We start from the raw sequence: 18,580 nt of genomic DNA on the forward strand, positions 1-18,580 counted from the left end.
GTTGACCTAAGAGACAACATCTCTTGCTCACACCACTTTTGAGGAGATAAGCTAATATTGAATTTTCCTCATTACATAACCCTTTGATTTATTCACCTACCCTCAGCCACTATTCCTCCTTCTGTCCCTTTATATCAGTCTTTTCCAGTTCTAGAAGTGACATTAGGTTTGGCTGCTGTGCTGGCCTAGACTGCATGCAGCAATAGTATTCTACCATGTCTTCTCTTAATCTACTCTTGATCATAGACAGTAGGTTACATAGGTTAGGAACTAGTGCAGGCTATCTGACCACCAGTCTACGTAGCTCTACTTACAGTTAATCCCGACTTTGCCAGATGAAATGAAGGCACAGCGCAATCCTTGATTTGCTTGGGAATTCTTACATAAAGGTATAAAAATATAGTTATGGTTTTTTCCTTAGGGATAATTCCTGTTTCTGGCAGTTCGATTTGCATCCCTGTTCCTGGTACCACTGCACCCTGTGTAAAAAAAGAAATAAGAAATGAAGTGTAGTCATTATTCCAGCATCCTCCCCTTAAGAAGAATTGTATGTACAGTCATAACAGCATCACCCTGATCCATCAGGAAAAAGAGAGGAAGCTACCTAGTGGAGTCAGTTTCGCAGCTCCACCCATGTTGACAGTAAGCACATTCATGAAGATATAAAAGCCAGTCCTTCATGTTTATATTGCCCAACAATTATATTGGCAGTTTTTAGACAATTAGACAACCAATGTTTCAACTGACTATTTCTTTTTCTTTTTTTTTTTGAGATGGAGTCTCACTCTGTCGCCCAGGCTGGAGTGCAGTAGTATGATCTCGGCTCATGCAACCTCTGCCTCCCAGGTTCAAGCAATTCTACTGTCTCAGCCTCCCGAGTAGCTGGTAATACAGGCGCCCACCACCACACGCAGCTAATTTTTGTATTTTCAGTAGAGACGGGGTTTCACCATATTGGCCAGGATAGTCTCAAACTCCTAAACTCAGGTGATCCGCCCGCCTCGGCCACCAAAAGTGCTGGGATTACAGGCATGAGCCACCGTGCCTGGTCAGCCATTTCAATATTCTATCAAAGTTTCCCCTGAATAGTACATTTCCCTGTGCACTGTTGGCTTTTTAAGGCTGTAAAGTGTGTTTTCTTGTGTAAAGAAATGTGACTCAACAGTCCAAATTGGTGTAATCTCCATTTTTCTGGTTCTTGTATAGCCTTTGAAGCATTGACATCTACCCCTGGTTGATCATAGCCCAATCCAGAGTCAGTGACTTCCCTGTCAAGATCCATTGGCAGCTCCTTTGGGGTTGCTGGCATTAGTCTGGCTTGCCAGCTATGAATGATCAAAGCTTCCCACTACAGAATCTGTCACAGAGCTGCCTCTGTCTGTTTTCTTGACCAAAAGTCAAAACAGACAGTATGAGAAATGAGATAAATTACCAAAATTGTGAACACAAGAGAGAGTATCACTAATGACCCTTTAGAAGTTAAAAAACATTATAAGTTAATACTCTGAAAAACCTGAAGCCAATCAGTTAGACCACTTAGATAAAATGGACAGATTTATACAAAGATAGAAATTGCTGAAACTGACTCAAAAATAAATAGAAAATCTGAAGAGAACTGTACACTAAGACAGTAATTTTAAAACCTTCTCACAAAGAAATGCCAAAGCCCAGATATCTTCACTGGTGAATTCTATCAAATATTTCAAAAGCTCTTTCAGACAAGAAGAGAGGAGGCAAGACTTTCTAGCTCATTTACAGAACTGACATTACCCTAATATCAAAGTCAGAGCAAGACTGACAAGAAAAGAATACCATAGACCAGTGTCACCAATAAACATAAATGAAAACATCCTTAACAAACATTGGCAGACAATAGAAAGCCACGTAAAAAAGGATTACATTCCATGACCAATGGGATTCATCCCAGGAATATATGGCTGGATTAACAATTAGAAATCAATTAATGGAATGCACTGTAGTAAGGGAATAAAAGACATAATTATCTCAAAAGATACAGAAGAAACAGTTGACAAAAATGTTAACACCACTCATGTTCATAAGTTTCAACAAAATAGGAATGGAGGGGACCTTCCTCACCCTGATAAAGGGCATCTATAAAAAACCCACAACTAAAATCATGCTTGCTGAAGAAAGACTGAATGCTTTTCTCCTAAGATGGAGATCAATGCAAGGATGTCCAATCCAACACTTCTACTTAACATTGTACTGGAGATTGCAGCTGGTGCAATAAGGCAAATAATTAAAAGTTAAAGGCATCCAGATAAAAAGGAAAACATAAAACTCTATTCACAGATAACATGACCTTGTCTGTAGAATTCACAAGCAGATAAAAGCCTGCTAGCACTAAAAAATGAATCCAGAAGCTCCCATAGGATATAAAATCAAATTAAAAATTATTAACATATTTCTCTATACAAGCAATTAAAATCTAAACTTTCCTATCACAGTAGTTACAAAAAGAGAGAAATAGGAATAAATTTAGGAAGACAGCAGAGTTTGTTGAAAACTACAAAACATTACTGAGAGAAATTAAAGGTCTAAATTCATGGAGAGATGCGGTTGGAAAGCTCAATAATATTGTTAAGATGACAATTCTCCACCAAGAGATCTATAGGTTCAGTACAATCTCTATCAAAACCCCAGCAGGCATTTTATGGAAAATTGACAATTTAATCCTAAAAATGTATGTGAAAATGCAGAGGATGCAGAAAAGCCAACGCAAATTTGAAAAAAAATGGAATGTCATATAAAACTACAATAATCCAGACAGTGTGAAAGCGAGAGACACAGAGATTAATGAACAGAAGTGAGAATCTAGAAAGACATTCTTACATTTTTTTGTCAATTGATCTTCAATGAAGTTGCATAGGTAATATGATGTGACACTTATCGCCATATAAAATATAAGCTCAAACAAATTAGAGACCTAAACAGCTAAAATTTATAAGTTAAAACCATAAAATTTCTAAAAGAAAATATAGGAGAAAATTTTTGTGACATTGAGTAGTTAGGCAAAAGATTCTTACATAAAATACAAAAAACATGATCTACAGATGAAAAAAAAGTGAGAGACAAATTGGGCTTAGTTAAAATTTAAAACTTAAGTGCTCCAAAAGACAATATTGAGAAAATGAGAAGACAAGCCGTAGATTGAGAGAAAATATTTCACAATTTATCACAAATTACATCTGTGATGAAGAACATGTATCCAGAATATGTGAAAAGTTCTTAAACTCAATGTAAGAAGATGAGCAACTCAACTAAAAATGAGCAAAACATGCTCAACTGACTTTTACAAAAGCACAAAAGCAATTCAATGAAGGAAGGAGAGCTTTTCCATCAAATGGTGATGGAACAACTGGACAACCACAGTGGAAAAAAAATAACCTGAGCCAAAACCTCATGCTTCATACAAAAATAACTCAAAATGAGTCACAAGCTTTCATGTAAAGCACAGAGTTAAAATGGCAAACATTGAGCCAGGTGTGGTATCACAGGCCTGTACTCTCAGCTACTCAGGAAGCTGAGGTGGGAGGATCCCTTGAGCCCAGGAGTTCAAGGCCAGCCTAGGCAATAATTTTTTTTCTAAAATAAATAATAAATTTAAATTTTTAAATTACAAACCTTTTAAGAAAAAGTCATCAGAGCTAAGACTGGACAAAGAGTTCTTAAACATAACACCAAAAGTATGATCCATAAAAGTTAATAAATTGGATCTTATCAACACTAAAAACTGTTGTTCTGTGAGAGACCTATGAAGAGCATAAAAAGACAAGCTACAGAATGAGAGAAGATATTTGCAGGCAACATATTCTGTAAAGACTGTATTCAGAATATATGAAGAAATTTTAAAACTCAACAATAAAAATGAAATCCAAATACAAAACAGGCAATGAGCAAGACATGAACAGACATTTCACTGAAGAGGATAAATACTGGGCTAATAAGCAGATGAATAGGTGCTCAACATCATTATCCAGTAGGAAAATACAAATTAAAACCACAGTGATGAGAATGGCTGAAATACAAAATAAAGGTAGCAACAGATGCTGGCAAGGACGCAGAGGAACTGGGACACTCTTATATTGCTGGTAGGGATGTATTTTAAAATGGTACAGCCGCTCTGGAAATGAGTATTGTAGTTTTCTTCAAACCGAACATGCAATTTACCTTATGACTAGCAATTGCCCTCCTAGGCACTTATTTCAAACGAGGGAATACTTTATGTTCACGAAAATCCTGTGCACAAATACTCTTGCAGCTTTATTCATGATACCCCCAAACAGGAATTAATACAACTGTCTTTCCGTAGGTGAGTGAGATCTGCTGGTTGAAATAATAACTGAGTCACACAAGTGCCCTTTCTCAAGGCTACCATCCTGCTTCTCTGTGCAGTAAGTGTTTTATGCATATTTCCCATTTTCTCACAAAGAATATTAAACACGTATACTCAAGGATCAAACTTTAATCCACATAAATTTTTTACTGCTCCATCAAAGACACTCTTAAATGGGACTGCAGTTTGGAGCCACTGCCTGGTTCTGCTAAGGTGCTGGGTGTGTTACCGACCTTGGCATTTGCAGCACTATGGAAAAGTCAACACAATGAAACAGGCAGATGGCATCTTGGTATTACTGTGAAAACAAGTCTGCCTCCAGGACTCTCTGAAGGCTGCTCAGGGGACACACTTTCAAAATGGCAAAGATCAATTATGGTTCCTAGTGGGACACAACCCCTAGCCTATTCCTATTCAGCACTGTCTTGCTCTCTATTTTCCCTCATTCTTCCAACTTATAACTGTATAAATTTTCAAATGTGCAAAGAAGCTGAAAGAATGGTGCGGTAAAATTCAAGCTACCACTCTGCCGTATTTGGTTAATATCTCTTTATATACATAAAAGGAGAGTGTGAAATGATGGACCATGGAGACCCAGAAGGGTAAGGGGGTTGGCAGTTGGTGTATAATAGAGGGGTTTCTTGATAGGTACAATGTGCTTGTCTCCAGTGCTGGATGCTCTGAAGGCCCTGACTTTACCACAACCAATATAGCAATGTAGCAAAATTGCACTTGTGCCTCATGAATATATATGAATCTAAGAAATAAAAAATAAAATAACATAACATGTTTCTTTATAGATACAGGTAGACATGTTTGTATAGCATGTGTGTGAATGTGTGTGTGTGCCTGTGTGTGTGTGTCCACCTGTGTGTGTGTTTCCGTGTAGAGAGGCAGCACAAATTAAGAGATTAAGATTTTGTGACTGAGCTATTCCAAAGTAACTTAAACATAAAACACACATGGATAAATGTGTCTGTGACAACAAACCTGAATACAAACATGAAATAATATGTCTATAAACACATCTCTAGATAGATAGCTTATGAATGAATTCCCTACCCCAGCTCCCTTACTGGTTGCCCTGTGAACACAGGGAGTCAGGGAACAGGACCCAGCTAGGGTCCCTCATCCTTCTCTTGCATCCAGGCAGGTCCTGCATCCACTCTGGCTGCACAGAAGGCTCCCATCCCTGCCTTGGTCTGTTTCACAGGTGCTCCCCTAACTCTCTCTGCCACCACTGCTTTATCTGGATGGAGCTGAGGCTGCCCTGACCAAGAACAGCACCACCCATCTGTGTCCCCAAGACCAGGAAGTTAGGAGGAACCACACAACAAGGTCAGGAACTATCCCACCTCCCCAGTCAGTCTGAACTGATGGCGGGAGATGCTGATGCTTGCTTTACTCATCCTCAATCCCAGCTCACTTATTCTTCATTAATTCAATCCAATCTCCCCAGCAGTCACTTCACCCCAGAAGCTGACTGACCTCTACTCTTCGTAATCAGGAAACCACAAAGCACTCTCCTTCCCCTCCCTGATATCACCCTTCAGCTCTACATCATCATATGTGGGCTCTAACTCTGCAGGGAAGATGTTGCCCCACAGGGTCAGCCCCTGAACACTGGCTGCAAATGTCCCCCCATCCCTTCCCAGCCCTTTCGGTGTTGCTGTGAATCTGTCCCTCACTGAGAACTGGCGGGGAGATGTGGGGGAGGAGGGAAGGTTTCTTTATGCTGTGTCAAAGCATGGAGACAGACCTCTCCTTCTCTCCTGAACCTCACACTATCCCTTCCCAGACACTTGAAATAAAACGCAGACCAGAAATGTCTATTTAAGAGTTAAATATCTATAGTATAAAATATGAAGACAGAGTAGAATGGGGTAATGCAGGAGAGCATGACAGAGATGACAGGACCTCAAGGTGCCAGGAAAGCTGGTGCTGGGCCAGGACCAAGGAGCCATCAGCAGGACACTCACTCATAATGCTCACCTATAATAATACAATTACTGCATATGTAATATATCAAAATATAATAAAATAACAAAATAACAAAAATAATATGGCACAGCTGCAAATACCCCATATATACTAACCCTTTTCATTCATCCAACCACAAGAAATAAATGCTCGTAGTTTCCCCATGTCATAGATGAGGAAAATGAGGCACAAAGAGAGAACATGCTGGTGAGGCCTAGGCAAGGAGTTGAATCCAGATCGCCTGGCTGCAGAGTCTAGTTGCCCTCAGTGGAGCCAGCGAACCCAGGAGCTGACACCAGAGACTGAGATCTCAGCTGTGCACTGCCCTGGTGGTCTCCTGTCCCAACCAGGTGTTGACCCAGGCCTTGCAGGCTCACGCGCTCTGGAAAAAAGAGAGAAACCAATAAATGCTCCCCTGGGTGCAGAGTGCTGCTTTTTATTCCCTGAGGAGTTCTCCCTCCTCAGTCACTCCCAAATCAGATTTACCCTTTCTCTGACGGAAGATGACGTCCCCACTTTTTTCTCCCTCCCATCGCACTTTTCCAGCCCCTGCCAGTCCCCTCCCGTGACTCCATCAACATCAGCACCTGCCCTGTGTCCACCATCCATTGTGCAGTGAGTGAAAGGACCCAGGACTAAGGAACAAGACCCAGGAGGAAACTCAGTGCCCTTTCCTCCTCCTCTCAAGCCTGACCAGCCCTGACACAGTGAGAGGCCTCCCCAAAGAGAGGCCCTGGCCCTGTCTCCATGTCCTTCCAGGTCTGGGCCAAGTCACACACAGTCCTTCTCTTCCTGAGACCCCAGGCCCTCTTCACCTGCAGAGGCACCTGCATACCAGGGCAGGCCCTGCACGCTGTGGGTTCTGCCCTCCACCAGCAGCTCACTGTTCCTCCCCTCCCAGCTCTGAGCAGACAGCTCCTAACTAGAGATCCTATCAGGAAGCCCTGGGGCTCACAGGCCCTGCATGGAAATATGTGGCTGCCATGGAGTCTGCACCTGACCTGATGCTGGGGACCCCCTTGCTCAAGGAGGCCCAGCCTGCCCTCCCCATAACCTGCATTTGGGCTGTGCTTGCTCCTGCCTGTCCACTCAACCCTGGAAATGCAGCTCCACCCCAGGGCTGCTGCTTGGTGAGGCTGCAAGCCCTTCCTGTCCCATTCCTAACAGGGATTCCACCCAGGCCACTGCCATCGCAGCTCACAGGGGATCTTCTTCGCCTGTGGAGTAGGGGGTTTCTTCAGACCCCTCATCCTGAGGCTGCCTCTACGCACCCTCTGCACCTGGGGATTGCCACTGCCACAGGCACTGTCTCCCACATGGACCCTCTGAGAAACGAAGCCCCAAATTTGACTTCCTGTTCTATTCAACATCCTTTACAACATCAGTATTGGGGGAAATCCTATTAAGATTATCCAGCTGAAATTATGTTGATGGACACCAATACTTAAAGCAGGAATTTTGAGAAACTAACATGTAATTTTCATGCCTTTTTCTGGCCAATGTCCCAGTGACCTACGAGAAAACCTTTCCTGCCTACAGGGAACCAGAACTGACAATCCCTCTATAGGAGACACCGCAGGTGAGAGCAGGAGCAACCACAGACCTGCACTGCCCGTGCTGTGGTTGCCTCCTGGACGGGGCCCTCTTGCTGCAGGGCAGGGGATGAACCGTCCCATCTGCCCAGGCCTGAGTGGCCAACTAACTGTGCAATTAGGTTCAAGGATGAGTCACCACCACCTCACTGGCCAGACACACGGAAGTGGAGAAATGGCAGAAAGACTCGGGTTTCCTGGACACCCCAGACTCTCACTGTCCCCTGCACTGCCTCTGTCTTTGCAGAAACTCAAAACTTTCTGCTTGCTCTTTTCCTCTCCCCTCAAACAACCTGACTGTGGGGGAAATGATTCTGACTGTCTCTTATTGTAAACTTACCAGGCAGCGACTACACTAAGAACAAAAACATTGGCTCAGGAAAGGCAAGGTGAGGCCACAGAGCACAGAACAAAGCCCAAAAAACAGCCCACTGGGTACTATGACCCTCGGGGGCTGGAAAAAGTAACACCTGGACATGGGATGAAAACAGGGACCACAGCTGCCCTGACAGAGGGCTGGTCCCCACTCCCCAAATAGCCCAGGGACATCTGCTTATCAACTGGTCCATATTATCTGCAAGGAAACACAGGGAGACAGGGGCCATATGGTGGGAACCCAGAAAAAGCACGGTCTCGAGGGACCCAGAGGACGTGACACCCCTGAGACAGCTCCCAGATGAGGCATATGGGGAGCTGCAAAGTGGACAGAGGATGGCCATGTGCACTCAGGACTCTCCCTGTTACAAGGGGACCTCAAAGGGGCTGTACACATGGGGGCCCTCATTCTGGGCCTCGTGGGTCTTTTTCTTGATGTCCTCCTGATGGCTGGAGAAACAGGGGAGGGGGATGCAGAGAGGAAGGGACTAGAGGCACCACCTCTCCTTGGATTCCTCTCCAGTTTCTAGCCCTCCCTAGATCACATCTGCCTTTACTATTTGCTCCCTCTGAGATAGTGATCATCCAGGCCCTCAGCAATCAGCACGCAATTCCCAACTCACCCACCTGGATGCGACCTGGTAAGCCTGAGAGACAGAGACCGGGATGGGGACAAAGCAGGCACCACGGCCCTCCCTGCTGCCCACTCCTCACCTGCAGCAGGAGGAGGCCACAGCTGGATGTTCGAGGGCCTTGGCCCAGCCCTGGCTTGGGCAGGACTTAAGGGTGTAAAAAATAACCTACATGTGATGGTTCATTTTCAATTCTATGTGCCTTAGTATAGGTTTAAGCAGGCCACATGGTCATAAAGAGATAAAGAAGGAAAATGTACTAAGCCACCATCCCCCCTACTTCTTGCTTTCCCTTTCATGCACTGGCCAGGCACCTATCGGTTGGGGCCCCCTCAACGACCCCTTCCCCACCTCACCAAAAAATGTAGTTTAGGCTAGCTTGCAACATAGATAATTGTACCCTTTCTTATCAACTAAGTGCAGCCATTAGGGACATAAGTCAAATGTTTAAAGAGTCCTGAGACAATCACAATGCATTATGGGCTGCAACAAAATGCAGCAAAAAAAAAAACAAAACCCTAAGGAACATACTTGAAGTCTTAAACTACCAATAGGTGACATCCGGGAAGATCGTAAGTCCTTGGTACTCAGCTAATGAGCAACTGGGGGAGGGAGTTGCGCACTAGGGAATAAATTGTTGAAACTCTCCCTGGTGTGCCTGCATTCCAGACACCCAATATTGCAAAACCGTCACTAACACTCTCACTTTTGCTGTTCTCTGGGTCTCAGAGTCCATTCTTTGGGTTTGGATGGGTGCGTTTGTTTCTCATAATCTAGTTGCCTATATGGGGATCTCTGTGCTTGTGTGAAGTGAGTGAGACTCTGCCTGAAAGGAGAAACACGTACCAATTGATTCATGTGGCCCATTCTATCTGGATGTCCTGGCTCCTCGCAGAAGCCATAGACAAACTTGAAACTGTTATTCAGGACACAATGAAAGTGACATGGGGGTACGGGAGGGTGGGGTGGAAAGCGGGCACCACAGCAACCAGGCAACCTCATGTGTCTTGTGGAAGGCACTGAAAGTACTGTGGGGGTCACATCACCATGAGAGAGCTGAAGGATGTGGGGTGGTGTTGGGGCTGTCTATCGTCTCTACGTAATCCAGCAAACTGTCCCTGAGGGAGCCTGATGATGCCTAAAGAATGAATGAGATTACTCTAGGTATGGCCAAGTAGGAGTTATAATTGCAGCTTTTATGTTGTCTGGATATCACTGGTAGAGCAGATTAATAAATCCTTGGGCCCACAGTGTGCAGCTGCAGACTTGGTGAGTGCATTCCTTTCCACTCCAATTAGAAAGGGGATATGGAATGATTCACATTCATGTGGGATCCACAACACATTTATTTATCATTTGCCTCAGGGCTATTGTAACTCCTCTGCCCGCTATAGTATATAGTCTTAAGACTACACTAGACATACTGGATATCCTATAGGATATTAAATCAGCTCATTTCATTGACAATTTCATGTTTACTGGGGTGGATGAGCAGCAGGTAGAAACTGCACTGGAGTCCTTGGCAAAACAAGCACACTCCAGAAGGTGAAGGTAAACCTTACAGAGCTTCAAGAGTGGCCACTGAAGTGAAGTTTTATGGGTGAACAAGTGCCAAGTGTTTAGGGGAATGCAGGTGTGTCCCCTCCAAGGTAAAAGACAAACTGTTTCATCTTGCATCCTCACCAGAAGGAAGGAAGCACACTGCCTGATGAGCCTCTTTGAGTTCTGATGACACCACATTCCACATTTAGGTGTGTTGCTTTGGCCCACACTCTAGGTGACATAGGAGGAGGCCACCTTCATGTGGGGCCCACACAGGAAAGGACCTTGCAGCAGATCCAGGCCATGGTACAAGCAGCCAGCATCCCTCAGACCCCTTGGGGCTGGTGGTGCCAGTGGTGGGGAAAGATGCAGGATGGAGCTGAACCAAGCACCAGTGGGAGAGTCACAATGAAGGGCCTGGGATTCTGGAGTAAGATCATGTCATCCACAGCAGAGACATATGCCCCCTGTTAGAAGCAACATTTAGTGTTACTTGTCCTGATTTGATAGAATGCTTGACCATGGGACACCAAACAACAATGTGGTTCCAAGTGGCTGTGTGACCCACAAAGTCATAAATTGCACAGGCCCAACAGCATTCATCAACAGGTGAAAATGGTCCACCTGGGTTGAGCTTGAATCCCTTGCTGACACCCACAGAAAACACCCAAGTCTGAAGTGGCACTGAACTACCAAACAGACAAATGGCAGTTAGCCAGCCTTCACCATGGGTCAGCCCAGGCCTGGTAGGATGGGTGCATGAATGGAGCAACCACAGTGGCAGGCATGAGGCTATGTATGAGGCCAGCAGCACTGACTCTCCCAGCCCTACCAAGGTAGATCCAGCTACTGCCACTCCTGAATGTCAACTCGTCAGCATTTGGAGCCCATGATGTGCCCTAGTGGGGCGCTATTTCTTTAGGCGACCAGCCACTAAGTAACAAGTGACTACATTTAGCTACTTCCATCCTGGAAGGGCCAGAGGTTCATCTTCACAGAAATAGGCCCATATTCCATGGGTGGGTTTTCCTGTCTTGCTCTGACACTCAGCCAGCACCACTCTCCGGGTGCTGTTGACATTCCTGATCTGCAGGCTAGGCGGTGCTCCTAGCCCATTCTCTGCCTGAAGGACCCATTTGGCCTGGAAAGTTTTAAAGTTTCCATGGCTGTGGGTTCCACTAATCCTATCACCATCTGCACCACCCAGGAGCTACCAGCCACAAGGAATGCTGGACAGGTCTTCTATAGGCACAACTCAGTGCCAGCCTGGAGGAAGCACTCTGAAAGTGCCATCTTTCAGAACATGGTACATTGTTTGAATCAGAGATGTCTCTATGGTGCTGTGTTCTCAATGGAAGAACATGTAGGTCCAGAAATCAAAAGGTGGAAGCAGGTATGGCTCCATGTCCAATCTCTTAGATTCATCCACTAAGGTATTTTGCCTTTTTTATCTCCCAACAATGGGCTGTGCGGGTTAGGAGGTCCTGGTTTCCAAAGGAGGGTACCCTTAAAAGTAGACAAAAGAGAGCCCATTGAACTACACATTACTTTAGTCACCAGAGAAGTTTGGAGAGCATGTTCCCAGAGACCACATCGTGAGAAGAGGAGTGTCCTTCTCTCCAGGCCCAGGTAATAGGCCCTCATCCCCAGGAGGAGGCATGGCTGCTTTCACACAATGAGGGCAGAAGTGTGTGTGGAAACCAGACATCCACCTGGGAACCTTCTGGGTCCCCTTGCCCCATTGTAAGTGTGAGCAGAATCATCCAGCAATTTAGCCTGAGAGGATTTGATTTCCAAGAACCCAGACCCATCTGGGCAGCAGGTTTGAGTCACACTCCTGGGTAATCTCCCAAGGCCCTGCTCCTGTGCTCTGACATCCTCAGTAGCATTGGTATGGAGGCCCTGCTTCCCATGGGCTGTTCCCAGTCAGTGATGGCTCACACCAGTGACACTAAGGCAGGACATTCCTGGGAGACAGGGGACTCCTCTGATGGCCAATGGTGGCTCCGGGTCTCCTCCATGGCCTTGCTCAACTCTCCTTAGATTGCCTGTGGTCTAGGAAACATCCAGTAAACCTTCTCTCCTTCTGTCCATCACTGGGGGTCACACTTGCATCTCGGCCTGTTGCCTTTCCCAGGGTAACCTGACTCCCTCACAATATCGTCTGACAGGTATGTCCCCTAATAAAATGCTGTAACTTTAACCCCATGATGGCACTTGCTTTTTGGAGGATTTGGACTACAAAATCATTTTCATCTACACACCAGTGTCCTCTTATTCCAATTTGTAAAATCCTTTTGTTTATTCAACTTCTTCTACTTGCGTTGGCTCCATTTTGCTGGTATTTGTATTATGTTTTTGAGTTCGTCAATGTTTGTTGATTTAATCACTAAATTTGGGGGTAGTTTGTTATGCAGCAATGGATAACTAATGAAGCCCTCTTACATTTCCATTATTCTATACAGGTTACGTACATCTGCTTTATTTCCTTCCATTTTCATAATATTGGCCATACGTAGGGTTTCTAGTTTCTCAACGTGTATTCTTTTCTTTATTTTAGTTTCTTTTCTTTTTTGTTCCTTCCCTTTCTCCTTCCTTCTGTCCCTCCCTCCCTCTCTTTCTTCTCTATTTCCATTCAACCTCTCGCCTTCCCTCCTTTTTACTCTGCTTTCCTTCCCTTTTCTTCCCCTTCCCCTTCCTTCTTTTCTTCTTTCACTCCTTCTTCTCTTCCTCCTTCTTTCCCTCCCTTCCTCCATTTTTTCCTTTTTATTATGAAAATTTCCTAACATATAAAATAACCCTATGTGATTGTGCTATAAGTAAGCATTTTCTGAATCTGTATGCCAAAAGTACAATGCCACGGTATATGAGAAACAAGTAAACAACAGAAAGTTATTGACAGAATCTAAATAAAAATGCCTGCTATAATTCTGCAGCCAAGACAGCGGCTTTCAACTCAATTCCTTCAACTCAGTGTTTTCAGAACACATCATCAACATCAAGTATTACGCACTTATTTCAAAAGTTTAAGCCAGGCGTGGTGGTTCACGCCTGTAATCCCAGCACTTTGGGAGGCTGAGGTGGGTGGACCACCTGAGGTCAGGAGTTCAAGACCAGTCTGGCTAACATGGTAAAACCCCATTGTCGCAATCGGTTACTATGGGATATAATGAAGGGGGATGAACACAGAAATAAAGACAAAGACAAAAAGATCTGTTCTAAAAGAAGGGGTCGGGGGCTTCTTGCTTCTAGTGATTCCTTCTGGCAGCAAACTCAGTTTGTCAGTTTGCCAACATCCTGCTTTCATGAGAACAGTTTGCTGTTTGCTCATATAGCCTCCAGTGGTATACTGAGTTGATCACGACCCTCATTCTTTCGGCCTCCAATACCCCGACTCTACTAAAAATACAAAAATTAGCTGGGCGTGGTGGTGCATGCCTGTAATCCCAACTACTCGGGAGGCTGAGGCAGGAGAATTGCTTGAACTGGGAGGTGGAAGTTGCAATCAGCCAAGATAGCACCACTGCAGTTCAGCCTGGGCAACAGAGCAAGACTTCGTCTCAAAAATAAATAAATAAATAAATAAATAAATAAATAAATAAATAAATAAGTTTAAGTTGGCACAATCACTTTGGAAATCATATTATTATTATCTAGTATGGTTAAAGGCCATATAACATATCATCCAATCATCCCACTCCTAATCATACACTCTGCGGGCTTTCTTGCCTATGTGCCCAGGAGACATGCACACTAATGTTTATGGCAAGAACTGGAATCAGCTACATATATATCAATAGAAAACTAGTGCAATTATGGTATAACCATAAAATGTAAACCTTCAGCAGTAAAAACGAATGAATGACAGCCTCCCACACCACAGATAACTCCTATATGTAATGTGCATCATGGGAAAATAAATGCAGTAGGAATTTGCTGTACTGGAAGCTTAAAAACCATCAAAACTAACTAATATTTGGATTGGGGATATATCTATACTTATTACACAAATCCTTAAAGAAACTCTATAATTTCTTTATAGATATTATGAAAACAGCAAGGTACTGGTACAAAAACAGGCACATAGACCAATGGAACAGAACAGAGAACTCAGAAATAAGACCACACATCTAAATAAAGGAATAATAATCACAAGACTCAGGATGGAGTCTCCTTTTGGGGGATGTGAATGGGCAGCAGCCCAGGGTAGTTTACAGGTTCTGTGTTTTACAACAGTGCTGGCTAAAGTCCAAACAACATATCATCCATTCCCTTTTAAAATGGAACTTTTAAAATAAATGTGTAATACTTGATGTTGATGATGTGTTCTGAAAACATTGAGTTGAAAGAATTGACTTAAATTCCTAATTCCTTAAACAGATTTTTTCAAAGTAAAATATGCTTGGTTTTTATAAAAATGAAAGAGAAAAGAATACCAAAGTTCATTGCAAGCATCCTTAACAAGAACTACTTACATTGGAACAAAACCACACAGAATTGTAAGGAGCCATGTGACAGAGAGGACCACGAGGCCATGAAAACGGCTTTGGCTACAAATAGGTCATTTGATCCTTGGCTCACTGGCATCTCTGTAGATTTTCATGTATACAATCTTCAATCTGATGTGCAAGGTAATTCCATCTTGCAAAGGATTTGATGTTACATTCTACCACACATACCACTGAATTAAACTTTTACAGAATTGGAAATGCACATCATTGATCAAAATAAATGAAACAAGAAAAGAGTAGAAAGGAATAACCAGTGACGGAATAGCAATATGAATAGAAAACACAATAGGACTGCGAAAACAAAGAAACAAACAAAACCACTTCAGAAGCACCTGATGGCATGCTATTTAGAATCATAGTGGTGTCCAAATCACTTCTATCACATATCATTCAATATCACAACAAAAGATGTTAAGTGTATTATAGAATGCTGATCGAATAGCCAGTTATTGAAAAAACTAGTTTCTCAATTCGAGCTAACAATTTCGTGATACTGCATCAAACCGAAGTTATTGGCATGCTAGATGTGTTGACTGAAGTATGAGATTCACATCTTTGTAAATGAAAAGCAATCTGATTAAGCAATATTTTTCTAAGTGAAAGCAAGTTAATTAGAGAAAGAAACAAAGGATGGCTACTCCAGAGACAGAGCAGTACTTCTTTTTTTAAGTGTAGGCAAATGTTTTTTGGAAGACGATATTTCAATAAGAAAACTGGCACTAGGGGCATACTTCCCCTAAATTTGAGACATTTTAGACAAAACAAAGACTTATTTTCAAGGCATTATTTTTATAGCACTAAAGTCTTGGAACTATTTGATCTAGTTATTCTATGTTCTCAACTGTGTTAACTCATTGAAGAGAACATTGCTGTTATTAAAGATATTGGCAAGAAAAACTCAGAGATACTGTTGTATCTCCTTTCTCTGCCTCAAACTGTTTTCCCCTCAACACCTAAGGCTCTGTGATGTCTCAAACTTTTAGTCATTAATTTAAAAAGTGAAGCTTATCATAGAATTAGAAAAAAACTATTTTAAAATTCATATGGATCCAAAAAAGAGCTCCTATAGCCAGAAGAATCCTAAGCAAAAAGAACAAAGCTGGAGGCATGAGGCTACCTGACTTAAAACTATACTACAAGGCTACAGTAACTGAAACAGCAAGGTACTGGTACAAAAACAGGCACATAGACCAATGGAACAGAATAGAGAACTCAGAAATAAGACCACACATCTAAAACCCTGTGATCTTCAATGAGCCCGACAAAAATAAGCAATGGGCAAAGGATTCCCTATTTAACAAATGGTGCTGGGAGAACTGGCTAGCAATCTGCAGAAAATTGAAACTGGACTCCTTCCTTACACCTTGCCCAAAAATTAACTTAAGATGGATTAAAGACTTAAATGTAAATCCCAAAACTATAAAAACCCTGGAAGAAAATCTAGGCAATACCAATCAGGACATAGGGATGGGCAAAGATTTTATGATGAAAATGCCAAAAGCAACTGCCACAAAAGCAAAAATTGACAAATGGGATCTAATTAAACAAAAGAGCTTCTGTAGAGTGAAAGAAACTATTATCAGAGTGAACAGACATCCTACAGAATGGGAGAAAATTTTTGCAGTCTGTCCACCTGACAAAGGTCTCATATTCAGAAGCTACAAAGAACTTAAGCAAATTTACACCAAAAAAAAAGCTTCATTAAAAAGTGGACAAAGGACCTAAACAGACACTTCTCAAAAGAAGACATACATGTGGCCAATAAACATAAGAAAAAAAGCTAAACATCACTGATCATTAGAAAAATGCAAATCAATACTACAATGAGATACCATCTCATGCCAGTCAGAATGGCAATTATTAAAAGTCAAGAAACAACAGATGCTGGCAAGGTTGCAGAGAAATAGGAAGGCTTTTACACTGTTGGTGGAAATGTAAATTGGTTCAACCATTGTGGAAGACAGTGTGGCAATTCCTCAAAGATTTAGAACCAGAAATACCATTTGACCCAGCAATCCCATTAAAGGTTATATACCCAAAGGAATATAAATCATTCTATTATAAAGGTATATGCATGTGTATGTTCATTGCAGCACTATTCACAATAGCAAAGACATGGAATCAACCCAAATGCCCACAAATGAGGAACTGGATAAAGAAAATATGGTACATATACACCACGGAATATTATGCAACCATAAAAAGGAATGAGATCAAGTCCTTTGCAGAGATACGAATGAAGCTGGAAGCCATTATCCTCAGCAAACTCACACAGGAACAGAAAACCAAACACCGCATGTTCTCACTTATAATTGGGAACTGAGCAATGAGAATACATGGAACCAGGGAGAGGAAAAACACACAATGGGGCCTGTTCGGGGAGGGCAGTGATGGGGGGATCATTAGGAAAAATAGCTAATGAATGCCAGGGTTAACACCTAGGTGATGGGTTGATAGGTACAGCCAACCACCATGGCACACGATTACCTATGTAACAAACCTGCACATCCTGCACACGTACCCTGGAACTTAAAATTAAATTAAATTAAATTAAATTAAAAGATAAGCTTAAAGCATTAAAGAAAAATAATTAGATAAAAGAAGTCTTTGATTTACAAAATCCTGAAACAATAGTTTTAATTTTGCTTTTAACATATACGTAAGTCCTTTAGTACAGCTCTCTTTCAGAGGTGCAGCTTAATTCCCTCTCTTAAGTGTGGCTTGGACTTAATGATGCACTTCTGATATGGCCTGTCTCTGTGTTCCCACCCAAATCTCATTTTGAATTGTCATGCGAATTCTAATCCCCACATATTGGCGGAGGGACTTCATGGGAGGTGATCGAATCATGGGGATGATTCCCCCAAGCTGTGGAAGTCAGCGGTTGAACCTATTTTTCCTAATGCTCCCCTCAGCACTGCCCTCCCATAATAGGCTCCAGTGTGTGATGTTCCTCTCCCTGTGTCCATGTGTTCTCATTGCTCAGCTCCCAGTTACAAGTGAGAACATGTGGTGTTTGGTTTCCTGTTCCTGTGTTAGCTTGCTGAGGATAATGGCTTCCAGCTTCATCCATATCCCTGCAAAGGACTTGATCTCATTCCTTTTTATGGCTGCATAATATTCCATGGTGTATATGTACCATATAAGGGGATTTTCCCCACTTCACTCTGCATTTTTCTCTCCTGCCACCATGTGAAGAATGACATGTTTGCTTCCCCTTCTGCCATGATTGTAAGTTTCCTGGGGCAGCCTCCTCAGCCATGCACAACTGTGAGTCAACTAAACCTCTTGCCTTTATAAATTACCCAGTCTCAGGTATTTCTTTATAGCAGTGTGAGAACAGACTAATACAACTTCTAACTGATAGAGTAATGTTGACATAACAGTTTGTGACTCTGGGTGTAGAATGTGAAACTCACTATGGCTTCCACCTTCTCTCTCTCTGTCTCTGGGATCATGAGCTCTTGGGGACCCAGCTGCTGTGCCATAAGCAGCCCTGCAGGAAGGTCCATGTGGCTAAGAACTGAGGCCCCCTGGGACCAGACAGCAAGGAACTAGGCTTTTCCAACAGCCATGTGACTAAGCCATGTT

General features: G+C 42.9%; 1 pseudogene, besides 3 other annotated features; it reads right to left on the minus strand.

Moving 5' to 3' along the window:
• On the minus strand, window positions 6,417-6,719 carry MICG (MHC class I polypeptide-related sequence G (pseudogene); annotated as a pseudogene).
• Window positions 6,708-7,588: an enhancer, noted in NCBI's record as "H3K27ac-H3K4me1 hESC enhancer chr6:29780458-29781338 (GRCh37/hg19 assembly coordinates)". NCBI's record gives its function as "activates a minimal SCP1, AML or CMV promoter by ChIP-STARR-seq in primed H9 embryonic stem cells {active_cell/tissue: H9 hESC(primed)}" and the evidence as "EXISTENCE:reporter gene assay evidence [ECO:0000049][PMID:30033119]".
• Window positions 8,548-9,048: an enhancer, noted in NCBI's record as "H3K4me1 hESC enhancer chr6:29782298-29782798 (GRCh37/hg19 assembly coordinates)". NCBI's record gives its function as "activates a minimal SCP1, AML or CMV promoter by ChIP-STARR-seq in primed H9 embryonic stem cells {active_cell/tissue: H9 hESC(primed)}" and the evidence as "EXISTENCE:reporter gene assay evidence [ECO:0000049][PMID:30033119]".
• Window positions 9,049-9,549: an enhancer, noted in NCBI's record as "H3K4me1 hESC enhancer chr6:29782799-29783299 (GRCh37/hg19 assembly coordinates)". NCBI's record gives its function as "activates a minimal SCP1, AML or CMV promoter by ChIP-STARR-seq in primed H9 embryonic stem cells {active_cell/tissue: H9 hESC(primed)}" and the evidence as "EXISTENCE:reporter gene assay evidence [ECO:0000049][PMID:30033119]".

The sequence above is a fragment of the Homo sapiens genome, chromosome 6 (assembly GCF_000001405.40).
Source record: "Homo sapiens chromosome 6, GRCh38.p14 Primary Assembly".
NCBI lineage: Eukaryota > Metazoa > Chordata > Mammalia > Primates > Hominidae > Homo > Homo sapiens.